Source organism: Homo sapiens, chromosome 6, assembly GCF_000001405.40.
Source record: "Homo sapiens chromosome 6, GRCh38.p14 Primary Assembly".
NCBI classification, from domain to species: domain Eukaryota; kingdom Metazoa; phylum Chordata; class Mammalia; order Primates; family Hominidae; genus Homo; species Homo sapiens.
In genome coordinates, this window is record NC_000006.12 from 70,675,328 (window position 1) to 70,698,868 (window position 23,541).

Consider the following 23,541-nt stretch of genomic DNA (forward strand, 5'->3'; position numbering starts at 1 on the left):
GTAGTGGAGCCAGAAATTTTTTCATTAAAAAAATTTTAGGAGGCCTGGAGCAGTGGTGTACACCTGTAATCCCAGCATGTTGGGAGGCCGAGGTGGGTGGATCACCTGAGGTCAGGCGTTTGAGACCAGCCTGCCCAACATAGTGAAACCCCATCTCTATTAAAAATACAAAAATTAGTTGGGTGTGGTGGTGCACTCCTGTAATCCCAGCTACTGGGGAGGCTGAGACAGGAGAATCACTTGAAACCGGAATGCGGAGCTTACAGTGAGCCAAGATCGTGCCATTGCACTATAGCCTGGGCAACAGAGCGAGACTCCATCTCAAAAAAAAAAAAAAAAGAAAAAAACAACTTGGAGGGGAGTGACTGGCACTTTCTTAGGACCTGGGGATTAGCAGGGGATAGGTAGATAAGGTTCATGCTCAAAAGGATCTGTTAGTCATTGGTGTGGAGAAAAGAGTTAACAAAGCAGGCCTTGCGGTGGTTGGCTGACATCTGAGGGGAATCTTGGGGATGGTCCCACCACCCTAAGTGATGAGTCTGTCATTGTGCCTAAGTTGTTTGTATAATAAATATGGTTTATGTTGAATATCTGCTTTTCTTCTGGGATTCTGGAATTGGCATATGTGCCAGCCAGGGTTACCTACATGACCAGTCTCCCTAATAACCTTTGGCACTGAGTCTCTGATGAGCATCCCTGGTTGGCATCATTTTACATGTGTGGTCACAGCTCACTGCTGGGAGAATTAAGTGTGTTCATTGCAACTCAACTGGAAGGGAGCACCCGGACGCTTGCTCCTAATTTCCCCTGGACTTTTTGTGCCTTTCTCCTTTGCTGATTGTGCTTAGTATCTTTTTGCTATAATAAATCATAACGATGAGTACAACTGTATATTGAATCTTTTGAATCTTCTTAGCAAATTACTGAACATGAGGGTGGTCTTGGGGAACTCAAAGCATAATTGGTAATATATATTTTCTTCCAGTATATTATACAGGACATGTTGGAGCCTCAGTATATCTGTGCTGGCTCTATAACCTAGCCTGCTAATAAGGGTACAGTCTGGAGGAGCAAGGATGAACATTAGAGGCTTTTATAACCTGGGGAAATTGTGATTTTATTGAGATGAGATAGGGGTGGGAATCTGAACTGTAGAGTCAGGATTTGAGCCCGGGAGATATAGTCTGTGCTGTTAACTATGTTTGATGGTATGATAGATAAAACACCTGTTTTTGTTGTAGAAATTTGTGATGTAAGAGATTGTTGTTGGGAAGACTGTCACCTTCGGCTAACTTAAGGTTTTTCTCAGATTATTGCCAAATGTGTTCAAATGTGGACAATATCTTCATTTTAGTTTCCCTCCTTGCATTTAATAGCAGAACCACCATAACTTCAAAATACCAGTTTAAACAAATTGGAATTTTTGTCTCATCACTAAAGTTTATTTTATTTATTTATTTTTTCCTTGTTATAGAGACAGGGTCTCATGCTGTTGCCCAGGCTGGGGTGCAGTGGCGTGATCATAGCCCATTGCGGCCTCTAACTTCTGGGCTCAAGTGATCCACCTGCCACAGCCTCCCAAGTAGCTGGGACTACAGGCTTGTCACCATGTATGGCTAATTTAAAAAAAATTTTTTTGTTGGGTGTGGTGGGGAGGGGCCTTGCTATGTTGTTTGGGCTTTCAAACTCATGGCCTCAAGCAATCCTCTTGCCTAGGCCTCCTGAAGTGCTAGGATTAGAGGTGTGAGCCACCTCACCTTGCGTAAACTTTATTTTAGAAACTTACTGAGTCCACAGATAAGTGCTTTAGTGTTTTTCTTTGTTTTTTGTTTTGTCTTCATATATATATATAATTTTTTTTTTTTTTTTTGCTATATCCTTAGGTCAGATACTGGTCATCTACCTGGGCTTTTTAAACCATAGAAACAGCATGATAGAATTGAAAGAACACTAGCTTGGTTGAGCAAAGCTAGGATTCAGTCCAAGCTTTGCCTCTGACTTGCTTAGTGACCAGTTGTCCTTGTTCTCTTTAATCCTTATTGCAAAGATTTATTTCAACCTTGTATGGTCTGTGTTCTTTCTTGAATCCCATACCTTGTCACTTCTTTTTTTTTTTTTTTTTTTTTTTTTTTTGAGGTGGAGTGCCAGTGGCTCGATCTCGGCTCATTGCAAACTCTGCCTGCCGGGTTGATGCCATTCTTCTGCCTCAGCCTCCCGAGGAGCTGGTACTACAGGCGCCCGCCACCGCGCCCAGCTAATTTTTTGTATTTTTAGTAGAGACGGGGTTTCGCCGCATACCTTGTGACTTCTATGTCAGTGTTTACTATTATTATTAAAAAATTATATTATTGAGAGTTTATTTTTTGAGTCCTATTGAGATATGGATTGTCATCAAACTTTTATAGTTTTTATTTAAAGCTTTTCACTGATGATTTAGGTCTTGCTGAGCAAATTTACCTAGTATTATCTTTAATTATCCCAAGCTATATCACACAACTCATACAACTCTTCCCCACAGGTTGAGGAGTCCTTTTGTTTAAAATTGTTTCACTGTAATGCTTTCTTACTATTAATGTCAGTATTTCTACCTCAGATGTTAGGTAGAACTGTGTTTAACTTGGAGTGGCATTTAGTTACTCAGATGTTAGGTAGAACTGTGTTTAACTTGGAGTGGCATTTAGTTACAGTATCATATAGAAGTGATTTTTAAAATTATTTCACTTAAAACAGAGCTTAGATAAAGTGCTCTTGGAAACATGCTAATTTGATGTTTACATATATTTTGAGTGATAAATGTGAGGACCTTGAGGGTCCGAAGGAAAGAGAATTAAAAGTAATTCTAATAATCTTCCATTCTCTGTGGCCCCTATACCCCAGCAATTTTTGGTCTCCATTTGACTAGAGATCCAAGTGATTGATGGTAGACCTTCAGATGTCTCTTATTGATCTTTTATAAAGCGTGCCTTTCATTGAGCAGTGATGAGCTCAAGCCTAAACTTAAGAAAATAAGGGGAATTCTGTGGGAAATAATATTTGGGATAGCTTTATCTTCCATTATAGGAAAAATTCATAAAAATTATGTTTAGCCTAGGGCGTTATTTAGTTCATGCATTTCTACTCTTGGAAGTTGCTTTTGGTGTAGGGTGATGATGGTGCACAGTGACAAAAAAATTAACAGAAGAATGTTTAAGTGAAATGATCATCACCAGTATATTAATTTCCTGTTGCTGCTATTAAAAAATCCTACAAACTGAATGGCTTAAAACAATACCAATTTATCATTTTAGCAGGTTTGCAGGTCAGAGTCCAAAAAGAGTCTTATTGAGCTAAAGGCAAGGTGTTAGCAGGCTTGCATTCCTTTTGGAGGTTCTAGGGGAGAATCTGTTTTCTTTTCCAGCTTGGAGAGGCCACCTGCATTCCTTGGCTCATGGCTCCTTCCTCCATCTTTGAAACTAGCAGTGTGTCATCCTTGATTCTGCTCCTCCTTGCCCTCCACTTCCATCATTACATCTTCTCTGGCATGTTTATGACCTTTTGGCTTTATCTGGGTAATACAGGACAATACTGCCATCTCAGTGTCCTTAAGTTATTCACAGAGATTCCAAGGATAGAACAGGACTTCTTTGGGGGCCATTATTCTGCCTAACAAAGTGGATTTGTGATAAAAATTATATATGGAATCTAGATTTTTTGTTTTTTTTTTTTTGTTTTTTTGAGATGGAGTCTTACTCTGTCGCCCAAGCTGGAGTGCATTGGCATGATCTCGGCTCACTGCATCCTCTGCCTCCCCGGTTCAAGCGATTCTCCTGTCTCAGCCTCTGGAGTAGCTTACAGGTGTGTGCCACCACACCCGCCTAATTTTTGTATTTTTGGTAGAGACGGAGTTTTGCTATGTTGGCCAGGCTGGTCTCAAACCCCTGACCTCGAGTGATTCGCCTGCCTTGGCCTCCCAAAGTGCTGGGATTACAGGCTTGAGCCACCGCGCCTGGCCAGAATCTAGATTTTTATAAGTGGTACAGAGTTGGGTGTATTTAAGATGGTATGGGATGATGAAGTACTACTTAAATTAGCCTTTCTCACAGGACCTATTTAAAAATACATGCATGCAAGAGTCATTTAACAATCTCTTTGCAATGGGATCATTTATGTAGGAAATCCCAAGAAATTTATAGAAAAGCTATTAGAATGAATAATTGAGTTTATTAAGTTTACAGAAATAAAGTGACTATAGAAAAAGTAACTCTATATACTAGCAACAAATAATTGGAAGTTGAAATAAAAATTATGATTTATAATAGCATAACAATATGAAAACTGTGGGATAAATTTAACAAAATACGTGCAAGACCTGTATACCAAAAACTACAGAAGATAGCTGAGAGAAATTAATGAATACTGTACCTAAAGAAGTGGAGAGAGGTATCAGAGATATCATGCTCATGGATTAGAAGACTCAATATTTTTAAGATGTCAGTTCTCTCCAAATTAGTCTCTAAATTCAACATTATTCCAGTCAGAATCCCAGAAGGCTTTTTTTGTTGCAACTGACAAGCTGATTCTAAAATTTTTAATGAAATGCAAGGGACCTTCCAAAATCAAAACATTGAAAAACAAAAAGAATGTTTGAGGTCTTACACAACCTGCCTTTAACAGTTATTAAAAAGCTATAGTTATCTGTGGAACATAATACGTAGTCCAGAAATAGACTCACATATTATGGTCAGTTTTTAACAGAAGTGCCAAGGTAACTCAATGGAGAGAAAGGATAGTCTTTTCAACAACAACAACAACAACAACAACAACAACAACAGAATGTATAATACCTTGAACCTTACCTCAGACCATTCACAAAAACTAATTTGAGATGGATCATAAAACTAAATTTAAGAGCTAAAACTATAAAACTGCTAGAAGAAAACATGGGGGAAAATCTCTGGGACCTTGAATTAAGCAGAGGATTCTTGGATAGGACACAAAATTATATTCCATAAAGTTAAAATTGAGAAAATGAACTTCATTAAAATTAAAAACTTTTGCTTTTCAAGAGACACTTAAAAATCATAGATGGCTGGGAAAAATATTTTATCTGGTAAGGACCTTTATTCAGAATATCTAAAGAAATAATGCAACTTAATAATAAGACAAAGTAAAACAAGCACTTGAATGTTCATAGCAGCATTATTCATAATAGCCAAACACTGGAAACAATTCAAATGTTTTATCAGTTGACGAATGGATAAAGAAAATAGTGCGTCCGTACAGTGGAATAATGTTTTACAGTACAAAGCAATGAACTAGTGGATGAGTCATAAAAACATTATATTTACAAAAGAATCCATACACAAAAGACAACAGAGTATACATTACAATTACATGGATTTCCTGTTTTTTTTTTTTTTTTTTTTTTTTGAGTTGGAGTCTCACTGTGTCTCCCAGGCTGGAGTGCAGTGGTATGATCTCGGCTCACTGCAGCCTCTGCCTCCCGGGTTCAAGTGATTTTCCTACCTCAGCCTCTCAAGTAGCTGGGATTACAGGCACGTGCCACCACACCCAGCTAATTTTTGTATTTTTAGCAGAGGCGGGGTTTTGCCATGTTGGCCAGGCTGGTCTCGAACTCCTGACTCAGGTGATCTGCCCGCCTTAGCCTCCCACAGTGCTGGGATTACGGTTGTGAGCCACTGCGCCTGGCCATAATTACACGGATTTCTATTAAATAAAAGGATAAAACTTATAGGGACAGAAAACAGGTCAGTGGTTGCTAAGGATCGGGATGAGGGAGTTTATTTAAAAAAAAAAAATACAATGCATAGGCTAGGAATGGTGGCTCACACCTCTAATCCCAGCACTTTGGGAGGCCAACGCAGGTGACTCACTTGAGCCCAGAAGTTCAAGGCCAGCCTTGGCAAAATGACGAAACTCTGTCTCTACAAAAAGTGAAAATAAAATTAAAAAAAAATAGCTGGGTGTGGTGGCACGTGCCTGTGGTGCCAGCTATTTGGGAGGCTAGGGTAGGAGGATCTCCTGAGGAGGTCAAGGCTGCAGTGAGCCGTGATTGTGCCACTGCACTCCAACCTGGGCAACAGAGTAAGACCCTGTCTCAAAAACAAAAACAAAAAACATGCAAATATGTTGTTTACTTCTTTCGCTGATGTTAACAGTTACTGTAGATTATGTAGCAGTTTCTCAATTCTTTTATTTGAATTTTTGTAACATATACACTCCTAAAGTTATTTTCATCTTCCTTGAAAATAAATTTAATGGTCTGAGTAAAGATTTTGCAGAAGTGATAAACTTCTTGATGCTGGTTTAAAGAATGAAAAACCTTTGGTGCCTTTTGTATGTGTGTGTGTTTTTTATTTGTGTGTGCCAAGTCAATTAGAATACTAATGAGTACTTTGAAAACATTATGGAAAACAGTGGTTTAATGTTTTGTTTTTCTTGAGGAGTTGTGTTATTCATACACAGCTCTAAAGTTGCTTGTGGAATCTTTAGAACATCAGGTTTTTTGATGTCTCTAGGTGCAGGATTTTCTATTAGGTGCTAATAGGGCTGCAGGAATAGCAGGTAGGGGTTCCTTTTTCATGACTAAGAGCAAGCAAGTTCTCTAAGAAGCAAGTGTGGCATATCTAGGCAATATATTAATGCAAGGTTTTGAGAAAATTTAAAATACAAATGAAATGGTTAGCTTTTGACAGGAGAAAAAAGATCAGGAAGAATATGGATCAATTTGTGAGAGAGTAAGATGGGTCTGAAATGTGAGGGGACAATTAGTTGATGAAGTCATTTGCTGAAAATAAGGATAGTGGGACATCATAGGGGATTTAAGGTTATTCTCTGCACAGATTTTTTTTTTTTTTTTTTTTTTTTTTTTTTTTTTTTGAGATAGAGTCTCCCTCTGTCGCCCAGGCTCAAGTGCAGTGGGGCTATCTTGGCTTATTGCAACCTCTGCCTCCTGGGTTCAAGCGATTCTCCTGCCTTGGCCTCCCAAGTAGCTGGGATTACAGGCGCCCACCACCACGCCCAGCTAACTTTTGTATTTTTAATAGAGATGGGGTTTTGCCATATTGGCCAGGCTGGTCTCGAACTCCTGACCTCAAGTGATCCACCTGCCTTGGCCTCCCCAAATGCTGGGATTACAGGTGTGAGCCACCACGCCCGGCCCTCTGCACAGAATATTGGCTAATAGTAAATGTTTTAAAATAATTTAAAAGTTTGTAAAAAATAATCCCTCTCCACTGATTGGTATGTTTTCTAACTTTTGTGGTTACATATACTGCTGCTATAAAGCTTTGTGTGCGCACTTTTTTTTTCAGAATAAAATCTAAGGTCTATGTTAAAGAGTATACCAGATTAAAACCCGTTTGATCTGTATTGCCAGAAGTGTTGGGACCAGTTTACCTTCCCACCACTACTATCTAAAGAATGGCTAGGCAAGTGCTGTGGCTCATGCCTGTAATCCTAGCACTTTGGGAGGCCGAGGTAGGCCGATCACTTGAGGTCATGAGTTCATAACCAGCCTGGCCAACGTGGCGAAACCCTGTCTCTACTAAAAATACAAAAATTAGCCAGGCGTGGTGACACGTGCCTGTAATCCCAGGTACTTGGGAGGCTGAGGCAGGAGAATCACTTGAACCTGGGAGGTGGAGGTTGCAGTGAAAGGAGATCGTGCCACTGCACTCCAACCTGGCGACAGAGTGAGACTCCATGTCAAAAAAAGAGTGGCTGACTTACTGTACCCAGTCTGTTACTGGGTATTCATATTTTTAAAAGGCTTCCTTAATACAGTTGGTGAAAATGTTATACTATTTTGCATTTTCTTGATACTCTTAAGATTTAACTTTTTTTTTTTTTTTTTTTTCTTGAGGCGGCGTCTCACTCTGTCGCCCAGGCTGGAGTGCAGTGGCACAGTCTCAGCTCATTGCAACCTCCGCCTCCCGTGTTCAAGCAGTTTTCTGCCTCAGCCTTTGGAGTAGCTGGGATTACAGGTGCCCGCCACCACGCCTGGCTAATTTTTTTTTGTATTTTTAGTAGACGGGGTTTCATCATCTTGACCAGGCTGGTCTTGAACTCCTGACCTTGTGATCCACCCGCCTTGGCCTCTCAAAGTGTTGGGATTACAGGCATGAGCCACTGAGAATATTGAACATTTTTTAATGTGCTCATTGGTCATTTCTATTCTGTTAGGATTTGCTCCTACATTTTGGGAGGGTGGGATTGGCAACCCTTTTCACATTTCTCTCTTGACCAGTCATTGGGCCAAGAGAACACAAAATTCCAGACAGCATTCATTCTTCTGGGTATCCTGGTGGGCCACACCATTCATCTCCATATTCCACCCATAAGACCGTGAATAAGTGGGTTGAGCATTTTGGAAAAATATTTTCAGTTTCAGATCTATATCTATATATTTTTCAGTAATTATGGAATTGTTGAAAGTTTAGAGATACAAGAGACCTGTATGGTATCTGTTCGAGTCTGCTATACTAGAGAGATAAAAGAGGTTAAATGACTTGTTAAAAGCAATGGAACAGTGAGAGAACATGGGAGTGAACCCAGGTCTTCTGGAAATCTGTCTGTTACTTTGTCAGGTCACGTATTAATGTGTTACCCTTGACCTTCACAAAAGATAGCACCCAACTTTTTAATCTTTTCATTCTCTTTAAATTCAGTCCTTGTGCACAGTGAGAAGGGAGGTAAATTGTGGGTTTTTATGCTTAACCAAACCGTTATCTATGTAATGGCAGCATATTAACAAGATAATTGGTTATCAGAGTGAGCAAGGATTATCTATTATTTAGCCAATTTATTCAAACATAAATTTGGCAGTAATGTAAACATGTTTTCAAAATTTGGGATATTTGTTGTCATCTGCAGTGTTAACTAGGAACAAATGGTTATCTCTATATAAATCTGTAAATAGCGTGGAAATAAGAGGTATTTGTAAATATTTTTGTGTTTGAGAGAGATTGTACAGATAGATGGAAAGCACTAGAGCATTGGTGAAGGGGTGAACAAAATAAAGAGGGCTTTACTGTGCTTGATCAGACTTTTGAAATTTTAAGCTGATTTTTTTAAGGATCCTAAGTCACCTGGGCAAAGAAAGAAATTATAGATTTGGCAAGGGATAAACTTTAAGACCATCAGGTGAAGCAAGGATTATGGATTCTTAAAAATTAAGCTTCATTTTCATTTCTCCTTTTATTTTATAACATTCTAATGACCACCAAATCCTTAAATGATCACCAAAGTTCAACTTCTTTGCCAAAGTAAACTAACATTTAAAAAATTTCAGGGGAGTGAATGCTGTATGTGTAGATTTTATTAGTTCCTTAAAGAACTTTCTAAGTTTTTCAGTGTCCTTATGATATTTTGAACTTGTTTACATTTTTATTCCTTCTACCCAAGTTTATGTGATAAAGTAAAAAAAAGTAGTTATATGGTAATATTTCCTCTGTAATATTCTTCCTCCAGTTGTCTGTGGGTTAGTAGTCACTGCTCTTCTCTTCTCTTTTAGAGGCACACTAGGATAGGGAAAACATGGGCTTTGAAAGCTCACTGCTCTGTTTTGAAGGCTCAGCTCTCCCACTGCTGACTCTGATTTCTTTCTTTCCTTTCACTCCCTCCTTCCTTCTTCGTGGTGGGGGTGTGGTATTTAAACTTTATGAGCTCCAGTGTCATTACATGTAGAATGGTAATACCTGTGTCACAGGGTTGTGAGGATTAACTGAGCTTGTGAAGTAATGTCTGGCACAAAGTAAGGGTTTGATAAATGAGTAGGTGTTTGGTAATTATGCCAGGTCTTAGTTTTTTTTTTTGAGCACTCATTCACTTTATTACTTTGCAGGAAGCATTTGTGAATTATATTTTGTTTGGTAAAAAATGTAATTGAAGAGATTCTGAGACTAGACCAGTGCAAAAATACTTGATGGAAGCCTCAGGAAAATAAAGTAGTTAATACTTTTTTTTTTTTTTAACTTTTTATCTGCTGATTCACTAGAGTAGACATTAGTGAGAGATACACAGCAGAAACCCTACCCTACCTTGCCCTGAGGAGCCTTTACTTTAAAGAGGCAGGCCATAAACACAGAGTGTATTCTGGAAAGTGTAATGCAAGCTTTAGATGTTAAATAAATTCAGAGAAAGTAAAAATCACCAAGAATGGGGGCTGGGGAAGGTTTTTAATAAAAGAGGTAGTTCTTGAGGAAGAGTGAAATCAAACTTAAAGGAGAATGGCAAAGTTATTTCATGTAGGAATAACCAGGTAAACAGGTTTGTGCATATACTTAGTGGACATGCTTTGTACGTACCTTTCTGAAGACAGGTGTAAGTACTGGGCAGAAATGTCAGGGAGAAAATAGACAAAGGGACAATTGTTGATTTGGGAGTTATCGGCATAGAAGTGTTTCCTAAAGCCATATTACTCCATTCAACACTTGTCTAACCAGAGGGTCAATGATGAAGATTTTGTAGAGAGGCAATGGGATGAAGTAGAATCGTCCCATTCTTTGTGAAGGAAGACTGTAAGGAAAACCAGAACAGAGAAGCCTTGGGAGAAGAGGTTTTTTTAATTTTTTTATTATTTTATTTTATTTTTTTAACACAGAACCTCACTCTGTCACCCAGGCTGGAGTGTAGTGGCACCACAATGGCTCACTGCAGCCTCAAACACCTGGGCTCAAATGATCTTACCTCAGCCTCCCAGGTAGCTGGGACTACAGATGTATGCCACCATCAGAGGAACTAGAAAACGCCATTTGATTTTTGTATTTTTTTGGTAGACATTAAAACTATTTTCTAAGCTCTTATGAAAATTTCTGTGGTGAAGCTGAATCCAAATTGCCTCAGAGTCTGTTTTTTTTACCTGCTATGCAGTGCAGTAAGATTTAAGAAAGTGAATCTTTAGTATTTTTATGCTTTTCTTAGGCAGTCCTTTACCATTTTTAACACCTTTGCCACATTTCATTGCTTGTTTTGTTTTCTGTGTTTAGTTTACTTTTGAAACAAATACATATTTTCTCTTGGGATTCTGACAACTTATGTGGTCTGTGAAGAAAATTGTTTGGAATTTGTTTCGCAGCGGAAGGAATGTTATTAATATGGGTGTAAATGGCCCTTGAAATAAGGCTTAATGGAACTTTTGTCAGGGTTACTTTGTTTTGTTTGAGGAATTATAGTTAACTCTTGAATAAACTGATACAGTTGACAAAAATTGGTTTCTGGGAGACTTGTCAGTGTATTTTTGAAAAAACACACATTTCTTTTTTAGCACATTTGCTTTCTTATCTTACAGAAGTACAATTCTTTTTGTATAAATGAATATAATAGTGTCTTTTCAGTACAATTGGGCTTCTTAAATATTTGAATACAGTATATACGAAGTGGTGGTTTTATAACATATATCTGCCCTCTGCTGGTGAAAATGCGTTATTGCTGTGAATTTAACAGCTTTAGTAATTTCTTTGAATGTAATAATACTCTGTAATTTCAAAAGTTGTCATAAAACTAAACTTGGGAAAAAATACCCTTATCATTTGAAAGGAACATTCTCTTTGGGACAGTTCTGCACAATGAATTATTCTGCCCAAAATGCCAGTAGTGCCCTGTTTGAGAAATATTGACCTAATATACTGATGATGATGATTTTTACATTGTGGCTGTCTCTCTGTGTTTTTTTTAAGTTTTTCTGTAAGTTCTAGGTTTGTCCTGTCCAGTGTGGAAGTCACTAGCCATAAGGCTATTTAACCGAATTTAAACATTCACTTTCTTAATTCCAGTAGCCTCATTTCTAGGCTTAATAGCCACTGTGGCTAGGAGCTAATGTATTGGATAATGCAGATTATAGAATGTTTCCAGCATCATGGAAAGTACAGTTTGACAGTGCTGTTTTAATTTTTAAATTTTAAAAAATGAGGATTATCATTTTCATGAAGTAATCATTTTCTTAAATTTGTGATGAATTTCTTTGCCATGTATTCTTTTCACATTACAGCAGTTTCTCAAAAAACAATTCCAATTAACCAAGGGAAATATATTTAGTAGGATTTTAGGTTATTAAGATTTTATTGTACCATGTAATTTGCTGCAACTTATATATTTATTGCTGAATGATTATAGTACATTTTTCTCAATGTAGGGCATTGAGTATTTCTAGTATTTTGCTTCTCTGTTTTGAAGAGTAAAGTTAGGTTAAGAATAATGGTCATTTTTTTGCCGCCATTTAGTTGAGATAATAGCTTCTTTACTCTTTTGGTGCATGTTTGGGATGGAAGGAAAGCTATGAATCAAAACATACATAGAGAAACTATAATGTGTGAATCACAGTTGAATATATGTTGGATGATTAAAAAAATACATAGACACTTGACCCAGTTTCTCCTAATGGTAACATCTTGTAAAATTATAGACAAATGTCACAACCAAGATACTGATGTTGATACAACCCACCAATCTTACTGTGACTTCTGCAGTTTTGCTTGTACAGTAATTTGTGTGTGTGTGTGCATGTATTTTTATTCAATTTTATCAAAAGTGAAGATTCATATATCTGCCACCACAGTCAAGATATGGAACAGTTATATACCACAAGAATCTCTTGTGTTGCCCTCTTAAAACCACACATACTTTTCTCTGTCCCACCCCACCCATCCATTCCTAACCCATAGCATCCATGAATCTGTTTTTCACTTCCAAAATTTTGCCATTTCAAAAATGTTATAAAAATAGAATCATGCAATATGTAACCTTCTGGGATCGGCCTTACTCAGTGTAATTCTTTCAAGACACATCCAAGTTTTTGCGTCTGTTAATAGTTCTTTTCTTTTTATTAAATAGAATTTTGTGATATGTTTGTGCCATAGTTTGTTTAACCATTCATCTGTTGAAGGACCTCTGGACTGTTTGTAGTTTTTTAGTATTAAAAATAAAGCTGCTGTTAACATTTTTGTATAGATTTTTGTGTGGATGTAGGTTTTTATTTCTCTGATAAGTGCCCAGTAGTGCAGTTTGCTGGGTTGTATGGTGATTGCATGCTTAGATCCATAAAAAAAGTGCCAAACTTTTCAAAAGTGGTTGTACCATTTTATACATCTACTAATGATGTGAGCTATTTAGTTGGTCCTTTGCCAGCATTTGGTGTTGTGACTGTTTTTTATTTTAGTAATTATGTTAGATGTGTTGTAACAGTGATATTGGCTTCAATTTGGATTCTCCTAGTGGTTTATGGTGTTGAACATCTTTTCATGTGCCAGTTTTCCATCTGTATGTCCTCTTCAGTGAAATGTCTGTTCATGTTTCATTTTCTAAATAGATTTTGTTTTTTACTGTTGAGTTTTGAAAGTGCTTTATATATTCTAGATACTAGTCGTTTGTCAGATATGTGCAAATACTTTTTCCTACTTTGTAGCTTAACTTTACATCCTCTTCACATGGTCTTGCATAGAAGAAAAGTTAGTTTTGAAGAGGTTCAATTTATTAATTTTTTTTATGGACTGTATTTTTAGCAAGTCTAAGTACAATTTGCCTAACCCTAGATCCTGAAGATTTTCTCATATATTGTTTCCTAAAAGTTTTACAGTGTTATGTTTTATATTTAAGTCCATGATCCATTTTGAGTTGCATTTTATATATGATACAAGGTATGGATCAAAGTTTTTTTTTTTTGCATATGGATATTTGATCCTTTGAGAACATTTAGACAGAGTCTTACTCTGTCACCCAGGCTGGAATGCAGTGGTGCGATCTGGGCTCACTGCATACCCTACGTCCCAATCTGCTTCAAGTGATTCTCATGTCATGCCTCAGCCTCCTAAGTAGCTGGGATTACAGGTGTGCGCCACCACGCCTGGCTAATTTTTGTAGTTTTAGTAGAGATGGGGTTTCACTATGTTGGCAGGGCTGGTCTTGAACTCCCGACCTCAGGTGATCCACCCGCCTCAGCATCCCAAAGTGCTGGGATTGCAGGTGTGAGCCACTGTGCCCGGCCTGAGAACCATTTCTTGAAAAGATTAGTCTTTCTCCTTTTGCACCTTTTTAAAAAAGTTAATTGACCATGTATGTCCAGGAGGGAGCACTTCTGAAATTTATTATGTTCCATTGATCTGTTTGTCTGCCTTTATGCCAATGTTGTACAGTCTTTATTACTGTAGCTTCTTAATAAGCCTGGAAGTAAGTAAGGTAGTGTAAGTCTTCCAACTTTGTTATTTTTTTCGAAGTTGTTATGCCTATTCTAGGTTTCTTGAATTTTCATATGAATTTTAGAATCACTTTGTCAATTTCTACAAATAATCTCAGATTTCAATGGGGAATCATTTGAGTCTGTAGATCCATTTGAGAGAGAATTGACATCTTTTAATATAGAGTCTTCCAATCTGAACAAAATATATCTCTCCAATTATTTAGATCTTACTTAATTTTGCTTGGCAGTATTTTATAGTTTTCAGTGTATGGGCCTTCCTTATTTTTTGTTAGATTTTTCCATAAGGTTTTATTTTTTAATGCTATTGTAAAAGATACTTTAAAAATTTTAATTTCTGATTATTACTAGTATATAGAAATACCGTAGGTTGCTGCATACTTAGGACATCTTGCAACTTAGTTAACCTCATTTATTTGTTTTCATAGCTTTTTTCGTGGATTCTATTAGGTCTCCTACCTAGACAATTATCATCCTCGAATAAAGGCAATTTTTGCTTTTTTCCAATTTGAATACCTTTTATTTCCTTTTTCTTATTTTATTGCACTGACTAGAACCTTTAGTAAAAATAGAAGTGGTGAAACTGGACTTGCTTGTTTTGTTCCTGATACTAAGGGAGAAAGGGTTCAGACTTTATCTTTTATGTAAAAGTCTTACAGATACCTTTTATCAAGTTGAGGAAATTTCCTTTGTTGCTAGGTTGCTGAGAATTTTCATCAGAAATGTATGTTGAATTTTATCAAATGCTTTTCTGCATCTTTTGAGATGATCATATAGTTTTTAAAATCTTTTTTTTTTGTTTTTTGAGACGGACTTTCGCTCTTGTTGCCCAGGCTGGAGTGCAGTGGTGCGATCTCGGCTCACTGCAACCTCCGCCTCCTGGGTTCAAATGATTCTCCTGCCTCAGCCTCCTGAGTAGCTGGGATTACAAGCATGCACCACCACGGTCAGCTAATTTTGTATTTTTAGTAGAGATGGGGTTTCTCCATGTTGGTCAGGCTGGTCTTGAACTCCTGACCTCAGGTGATTTGCCCGCCTTGGCCTCCCAAAGTGCTGGGATTACAGGCCACCCGGCCGGTTTTTAAGTTCTTTAATATATTGAACTACATTGATTTTCACACATTAAACTGCATTCCTGGGAGAAACTACACTTGGTCTTGATGTATCTTTTATATATATATATATATATATTTTTGAATTTGATTTGCTATGATTTTACATATTGTCATGAAGGGTGTTGAACTGTAGGTTTTATTTCTTGTGATATCTTTGTCTGGTTTGGTATCAGAATAATTTTAGGCTCACCAAATGAATTAGATAGTATTCTCCTCCTCCCCCTTCCCCCCTTCCCCACTGTTTTTTTTTCCCCTCAATTTCCGGAGGAGTTTGTATAGAACTGACACTATTCCTTAATCGTTTGGTAGATTTCCCCAGTAAAGCTATCTGGGCCTTGAGTTTTTGTTTGTTTTTTGCTGAGCAGATTCAGTTTATTTAATCGATATTAGGCCATTCAGGTTATCTTTTCCTTCTGGAGAGAGCTCATTTCTGTCTTTCAAGGAGTTGGTGCACTTATAGCATAAAGTTGTTTATGATATTCCTTTATTGTATCTGTAGAATCTGTAGTAATGTCTCTTCTATCATTGCTGATATTGGTAGTTTGTATTTTCTCTCTTTCTTCATCAGCCATGCTAGAGATTTACCTATTTTATTGATGTTTTTCAAATAATCAGTCTTTATTTTCATTGACTTTTTTGTTGCCTTTTGGTTTTCTACTTCACTGATTTTTTAAAATTTTTATGGGTACATATAATAGTAGGTGGATATATTTATGGGGTACATGAGATATTTTGATATGGGCATACAAAGCATAATAGTCACATCAGGGTAAATGAGGTTTCCATCACCTCAAGCATTTATCATTTCTTTATGTTACAAACATTACAGTTATACTATTAGTTATTTTAAAATGTGTGATAAATTATTGTTGACTGTAATCACCCTGTTGTGTTATCAAATACTAGATCTTACTCATTCTAACTATATATTTAAACCCATTAACCATCTCAATTCTGTGGCCCTCTGCACCAACCCCCTACTCTTCCCAGTTTCTGGTAATCATCATTCTACTCTCTATCTCCATGAGTTCAATTGTTTTAATTTTTAGCTCCTATAAAAGAGTGAGAATGTGAGAAGTTTGTCTTTCTGTGCCTGACATTTCACTTAACATAATATCCTCTAGTTCCATCCATGTTGTTGCAGATGACAGGACCTCATTCGTTTTTATTGCTGAATATAGTACTCCAATGTGTATATGTACCACGTTGTCTTTATCCATTCCCCTGTTGATGGACACTTAGGTAGCTTCCAAATGTTGGCTATTGTGAATAGTGCCACAATAAACATGGCCGTGCAGGTATCTCTTCAGTATAATTATTTCCTTTCTTTTGGGTATATAGCTAGCAGTGGGATTGCTGGATCGTATGGTAGGTCTATTTTTGGTTTTTTTGAGGAATCTCCGTACTGTTCTTCATAGTGGCTGCACTAATTTGCCCTTTTCTCCACATCCATGCCAGCATTTGTTATTTTCAGTCTTTTGCATAAAAGCCATTTTAACTGGAGTGAGATGATATCTCATTGTAATTTTAATTTGCATTTCTCTGATAATCAGTGATGTTGAGCACCTTTTCATATACCTGTTTGCCATTTGTATGTCTTCTTTGGAGAAATGTCTGATTAGATCTTTTGTCCATTTTAAAATCAGATTATTATATTTTTTCCTATGGAGTTGTTTGAGCTCATTATATATTCTGGTTATTAATCCCTTGTCAGATGGAGAGTTTGTAAATATCTTATCTTATTTTGTGGGTTGTCTCTTCACTTTGTTGTTTCCTTTGTTGTGCCAAAGCTTTATAACTTGATGTGATCCCATTTGTCCATTTTTGCTTTGGTTGCCTGTGTTTGTGGGGTACTACTCAAGAAATTTTTGCCTGGGCAGAGTGTCCCCAATGTTTTAGTAGTTTCATAGTTTGAGGTCTTAGATTTAAGCCTTTAATCTATTTTGACTTGAATTTTGAATATGGTGAGAGATACGAGTCAAGTTTTATTCTTCTGCATATTTATATCCAGTTTTCCCAGTACCATTTACTGGAGAGACTGCTCTTTTACCCAATGTATGTTCTGGGCCCCTTTGTCAAAAATGAGTTCACTCTAGATGTATGGATTTATTTCTGGGTTTTCTATTCGATTCCATTTGTCTATGTGTCTATTTTTTGTTGTTGTTTTTGAGATGGAGTCTCGCTCTGTTGCCCAGGCTGGAGTGCAGTGGCGTGATCTTGGCTCACTGCAATCTCCGCCTCCCAGGTTCACGCTGTTCTCCTGCCTCAGCCTCCCGAGTAGCTGGGACTACAGGTGCCCACTACCATGCCCGGCTAATTTTTTGTATTTTTAGTAGAGACAGGGTTTCACCATGTTAGCCAGGATGGTCTTGATCTCCTGACTTCATGATCTGCCCACCTCGGCCTCCCAAAGTGCTGGGATTACAGGCGTGAGCCACTGCGCCCAGCCTATGTGTCTATTTTTATGCCAGTACCATGCTGTTTTGGTTACTATAGCTATGTACTATAATTTGTTTTTGTTTTGGTAGGCTGTTTTAGAAGATCTGTAGTATAATTTGAAGTCAGGTAATGTGATTCCTCCAGTTTTGTTCTTGTTGCCTGGACTATTCTGGGTCTTTTGTGGTTTCATGTAAATTTTAGGATTTCTGTGAAGAATGTCATCTTCTTTTTTTTTTTTTTTTTTTTTTTTAAGACAGAGTCTTGCTCTGTCACCAGGCTGGAGTGCAGTGGTGCAATCTCTGCTCACTGCAACCTCTGCCTTCCAGGTTCAAGCGATTCTCCTGCCTCTGCCTCCTGAGTAGCTAGGACTACAGGTGTGTGCCATTACAGCCAGCTAATTTTTGTATTTTTAGTAGAGACAGGGTTTCACCTTGTTGGCCAGGATGGTCTCCATCTCTTGACCTCATGATCCGCCTGCCTCGGCCTCCCAAAGTGCTGGGATTACAGGCATGAGCCACCGTGCCTGGCCATCATTGTATTTTAATAGGGATTGCGTTGAATCTGTAGATTGCTTTGGGTAGTGTGGACATTGTAACAATATTGATTCTGACAGGTGGAGAGGCCAGGTTGGCTAAAGCTTTGGCCTCCAGCTTTGGAAAATGGCATTGGGGGAAGGATGGAGGGGTTGAGAAAATGAAAAACTGTGAGACCTGGAAGTTGATTTGAGACTCATATATTTAAAGCAAAATTGGTTAAAAATTTAAGGGGTTTCTTGGGTATCACTCAAAGTATTGAAGATGACCCATCTTTGGATACCCAGCTTCTCTTAACATTGCTCACTAGAAGCTCATTTTAGACCCTGATTCTATCTTTTTCCTACAGTCATCATAACAAATCTTTTGTTTATTCATGTTGTGTTATTTTTAGCATTTTTAACAGATGTGGTTTGTTCTTACCCTAATCTAAATGAAGACAGGTGCCCAGGAAACTATACCAACCCTCTTGAAGTTCAAATGGTTGTAATCCTTTGGAAAGTTACTTTGTGGTGGATTTTCTGTTTACATCTTGAATGCTACATCCAGTATCACCACAGCAAAGTCAGAAATCGAGGCTATAACTTGATCTACTGATGGATAAGGCATCTCAAGAGATTTATGTTAATGATACACTCCACTGGCAACACAATAATTCTCTTCATACTGTGTTGCAGCATTCCTTCCTGGAACCCAGCAGATCAGATTATATCTTGATCTCCTTCTGGCCATCCTGGCCCTGGTGCTGATCTGTTTTCTGATGTGTCTGCTCATTTACACAGTGAAAATCTGGAAGTTTAATAAAGCTAAGCCATATCCTGATGTACTTGAAGAAGGAAAAATCTGTACTTAACCCAGCAGTATTACCTCAGAGACTGGATTCAGGACTATTTGAAACCTAGAAGAAGTTGTTGAAAAGCAAGGAGACATAATAGTATATATGAAGCGACACAATGAAGTGTTGAGTGACTGTTGGCTCTCACTTCCTTGGACCTAGCCTGTTAGCCAAGTAGAATGTGAGAGGCTTACAGTCTTGACAGCAATTGCAGAAGAATCCAGAGTAATCTCACAAGCTGCCATAGAGAATTGCAGCTTTTGCTGAATAGCATTTTATAATTTTTGTTGGAAACCTGAATTTGGTTCTCACCTGTGTGGCTGTATACCATATAGGGTTTGGGGGTAAAGGTACCTTGTAAACACCTTAATAACTTGAGGATAATGTCTGTTGTTTACTTTTTGAAATTATTTAACTGCTTGGTCTTAGGATCAAAGGTATAATTTAAACAACAACAACAAAAATCCAATATTGAATCTTTCAATCCATGAACATGGAATATATTTCCGTTTTTTTGTGCGTCTTTTTCAGTTTCTCGCATCAATGTTCTATTCACTGTGGAGATCTTCCATTTCTTTTCAAGTTTATTTATCTCATTGTATTTGTAGCTGTCGTAATGGGATTACTTTCTTGATTGCTTTTTCTCATTGTTTGCTCTTGACGTAGAAATGCTACTGATTTTTGTATATTGATTGTGTATCCTGCAACCTTACTGAATTTGTTTATTCTAGTAGTTTTTTGGTAGGGTCTTTAGTTTTTTCTAAATATAAGATCATATTACCTACAGACAAGTATACTTTGACTTTTTCCTTTCCAAATTGGATGCCCTTTCTTTCTCTTGTCTGATTGCTCTAGCTAGACATTGTTTGACTATTATGCTGAATAACAGTAGTGACAGTGGGCATCCTTGTCTTGTTCCAGGTCTTTGAGGAAAGGCTTTCAGTTTTTCCCCATTCAGTATGATACTAGCTAGGGGTGTGTCATATATGGCTTTTATTGTGTTGAGGTATGTTCCTTCCATACCCAATTTTTTTTGGGTTTCTATCATAAAGGGATGTTGAATTTTATCAGAATCTTTTTCAGTATCAGTTGAAATGATTATTTGGTTTTTGTCCTTCATTCAATGTTGATATGATGTATCACATTGGTTAATTTGCATATGTTGAACTATCATTGCATCCTTGGGATAAATCCCACTTGGTCATGATGAATGAACTTTTTAATATGTTGTTTAATTTGATTTGCTAGTATTTTGTTGAGGATTTTTGCGCCAGTGTTCATCAGGATATTGGCTTCCTTTTCTTTGATGTGTCTGTCTGGTTTTGGTATCAGGGTGATACTAGCCTTGTAGAATGAGTTTGGAAGTATTCCCTCCTCCTCTATTTGTCCGAATAGTTTGAGTAGGATTGGTATTAGTTCTTCTTTAAATGTTTGATAGAATTCAGCAGTGAAGCCATTGGGTCCTGGACTTTTCTTTGCTGGGATACTTTGTATTACAGCTTCAATCTCATTTCTTGTTATTGGTCTATTTAGATTTTGGATTTCTTTGTGGTTTAATTTTGGTAGATTGTATGTGTCTAGGAAATTATCCATTTCGTCTAGCTTTTCCAATTTATTGGCATATAGTTTCTCATAGTAGCCTCTAATGATGGTTTGAATTTCTGCAGTATTGGTTGTAATGTCTCCTTTTTCATCTCTGATTTTATTTATTTGTGTCTTCTTTCTTCGTCTGGCTTATCTTTTGCTTATCTTTTCAAAAAAAACAGCATTTTGTTTCATTGATCTTTTGTATTATTTCAATTTCATTTATTTCTACTCTGATATTTATTATTTCTTTTCTTCTAATTTTGGGCTTGGTTTGCCTTTGCTTTGCTAGTGTTTAAAGCTACATCATTATGTTGCTTATTTGAAGTCTTCTGCTTTTTTAGTGTAAGTGCTTATTGCTATAAACTTTCCTCTTAGTACTGCTTTTGTCTTATCCTACAGGTTTTGGTATGTTGTGTTTTTATTTTTATTTGTTTCAAGACATTTAAAATTTCCTTTTAAATTTCTTCATTGACGCCTTGGCCTTTCAGGAGAATACTATTTAATTTCCATATATTTGTATAGTATCCATAGTTCTTCCTGTTATTGATTGCTAGTTTTATTCCATCATGGTCAGAGAAGATATTTGATGTGAATTCAAATTTTTTGAATTTTAAGAGTTGTTTTGTGGCCCAGCATATAGTCTATCCTTGAAAATGATCCATGTGCTGAGGAGAAGAATGTGTATTCTGCAGCTGTTGGATGAAATGTTTTGCAGATATCTGTTAGGTCCGTTTTGGTCTATAGTTCAGATTAAGTCCAATGTTTCTTTGTTAATTTTCTGTCTGGATGATCTAATGCTGAAAGTGGGGTGTTGAAATCTCCAGCTATTAACTTGGGGTATATCTTTGTCTTTAGCTCTAATAATATTTGCTTTATATATTTGGGTTTTACAGTGTTGGGTGCATATATATTTACAATTGTTATATCATCTTGCTGAGTTGACCCCTTTATCATTATAAAATGACCTTTATCTCTGTAGTTTTTCTCTTGAAATCTATTTTGTCCAATATAAGCTACTCCTGCTCTTTTTTGATTTCTATTTGCATGCAGTATCTTCTTCCATCCCTTTATTTTCAGTCTTTGTGTGTTATTACAGGTGAAGTGTGTTTCTTGTAGGTAACAGTTCATTGGATGTTGCTTTTTTATCCGTTTAGCCACTCTTTGTCTTTTGATTGGAGAGTTTAATTCATTTATATTCAATGTTATTGATATGTAAGGACTTAATACTGCCATTTTGTTATTTGTTTTCTGGTTGTTTTGTGGTCTTCTCTTCCTTTATTCCTTTTTTTTTTTTTGAGACAAGAGTCTCACACCATTGCTGGGGCTGGAGTGCAGTGGTGCAATCTCAGCTCACTGCAACCTCCGCCTCCTAGGTTCAAGCAATTCTCCTGCCTCAGCCTCCCTAGTAGCTGGGATTACAGGTGCCCACCACCACACCCAGCTAATTTTTTTGTATTTTTAGTAGAGACGGGTTTTCACCATGTTGGCCAGGCTGGTCTTGAACTTCTGACCTCGTGATTTGCCTGCCTCGGCCTCCCCAAGTGCTGGGATTACAGGCGTGAGCCACCACGCCTGGCCGCTTCTTGTCTTTTTGTGAAGATGATTTTCTCTGGTGGTATGTTTTAATTCATTGCTTTTTATTTTTTATGTATCTTGTGTAGGGTTTTTTGACTTGATGTTACCATGAGGCTTGCAAATAACGTAATCCATTATTTTAAACTGATGACAACTTAATTGCCAAAACAAACAAGCAAAGAGAAAACTAATAAAACCTCTACACTTTAACTTCATCCCCCACACTTCTTAACTTTTGGTTATTTCTATCTTATTGTATTGTGTCTTGAAAAGATGTAGTTATTTTCTGATGGGTTCATCTCTTGGCCTTTCTACTCAAGATATGAACAGTTTATACACCACAATTACAATGCTACAATATTCTGCGTTTTTTTGTGTGCTTACTATTACCAGTGAGCTTTTTACCTTAAGATGATTTCTTATTGCTCGTTAACATCATTTTCTTTCAGATTGAAGAACTTCCTTCAGCATTTCTTATAGGACATGTCTGGTGTTGATGAAATCCCTTAGCTTTTGTTTGTCTGGCAATGTCTTTATTTCTCCTTCACTTGAAGGATATTTTCACTTGATATGCTATTCTAGGATAAAAGTTTTTTCCTTCAGCACTTAAAATATGTCATATCACTTTCTCCTGGCCTGTAAGGTTTCCACTGAGACATATGCTGCCAGATGTGTTAGAGCTCCTTTGTATGTTACTTGTTTCTTTTCTCTTGCTTCTTTTAGGATCCTTTATCTTTGACATTTAGGAATTTGGTAATTAAATGTCTCGAGGTAGTCTTATTTCGGTTAAATCTGTAACCTCTCTGTGCTTTTGAATTGTGATATTGTTGTCTAGGTTTGGAAAATTCTCTGTTATTATCCCTTTGAATCAGCCTTCTACCCCATCTCTCTCTACCTCCTTGTTAGGTTAATGACTATTAGATTTGCCATTTTAGGACTGTTTTCTAGATTTCGTAGGCATGCTTCATTCTTTTTTATCATTTTATTCTTTTGTCTCTTCTGACTGTATTTTGAAATAGCCTGCTTCAAGCTTACGAATTATTTCTTCTGCTTGATCAATTCTGCTGTTGAGAGACTCTGACGCATTCTTCAGTATGTCAGTTGAATTTTTCAGGTTCAGAATTTCTGCTTGATTTTTAGTTATTTCAATCTCTTGTTAAATTTATCCGATAGAATTCTGAATTCCTTTTCAGTGTTATCTTGAATTTTGTTGAGCTTCGTCAAAACAGCTGTTTAGAATTCTCTGCCTGAAAGGTCACATATCTC

The 23,541-nt window shown here is 37.1% G+C and overlaps 1 protein-coding gene and 1 pseudogene across 9 annotated transcripts in view, besides 1 other annotated feature; both read left to right on the forward strand.

Annotated features, from left to right (window-relative positions):
- The window catches only part of SMAP1 (small ArfGAP 1), a 194,133-nt gene that overhangs the window by 7,445 nt on the left and 163,147 nt on the right, over positions 1-23,541 (forward strand). The gene's annotated exons all lie outside the window — the stretch shown is intronic.
- Positions 1,545-2,114: an enhancer, noted in NCBI's record as "H3K27ac-H3K4me1 hESC enhancer chr6:71386575-71387144 (GRCh37/hg19 assembly coordinates)". NCBI's record gives its function as "activates a minimal SCP1, AML or CMV promoter by ChIP-STARR-seq in primed H9 embryonic stem cells {active_cell/tissue: H9 hESC(primed)}" and the evidence as "EXISTENCE:reporter gene assay evidence [ECO:0000049][PMID:30033119]".
- On the forward strand, positions 18,512-19,491 carry LOC100419975 (transmembrane protein 192 pseudogene; annotated as a pseudogene).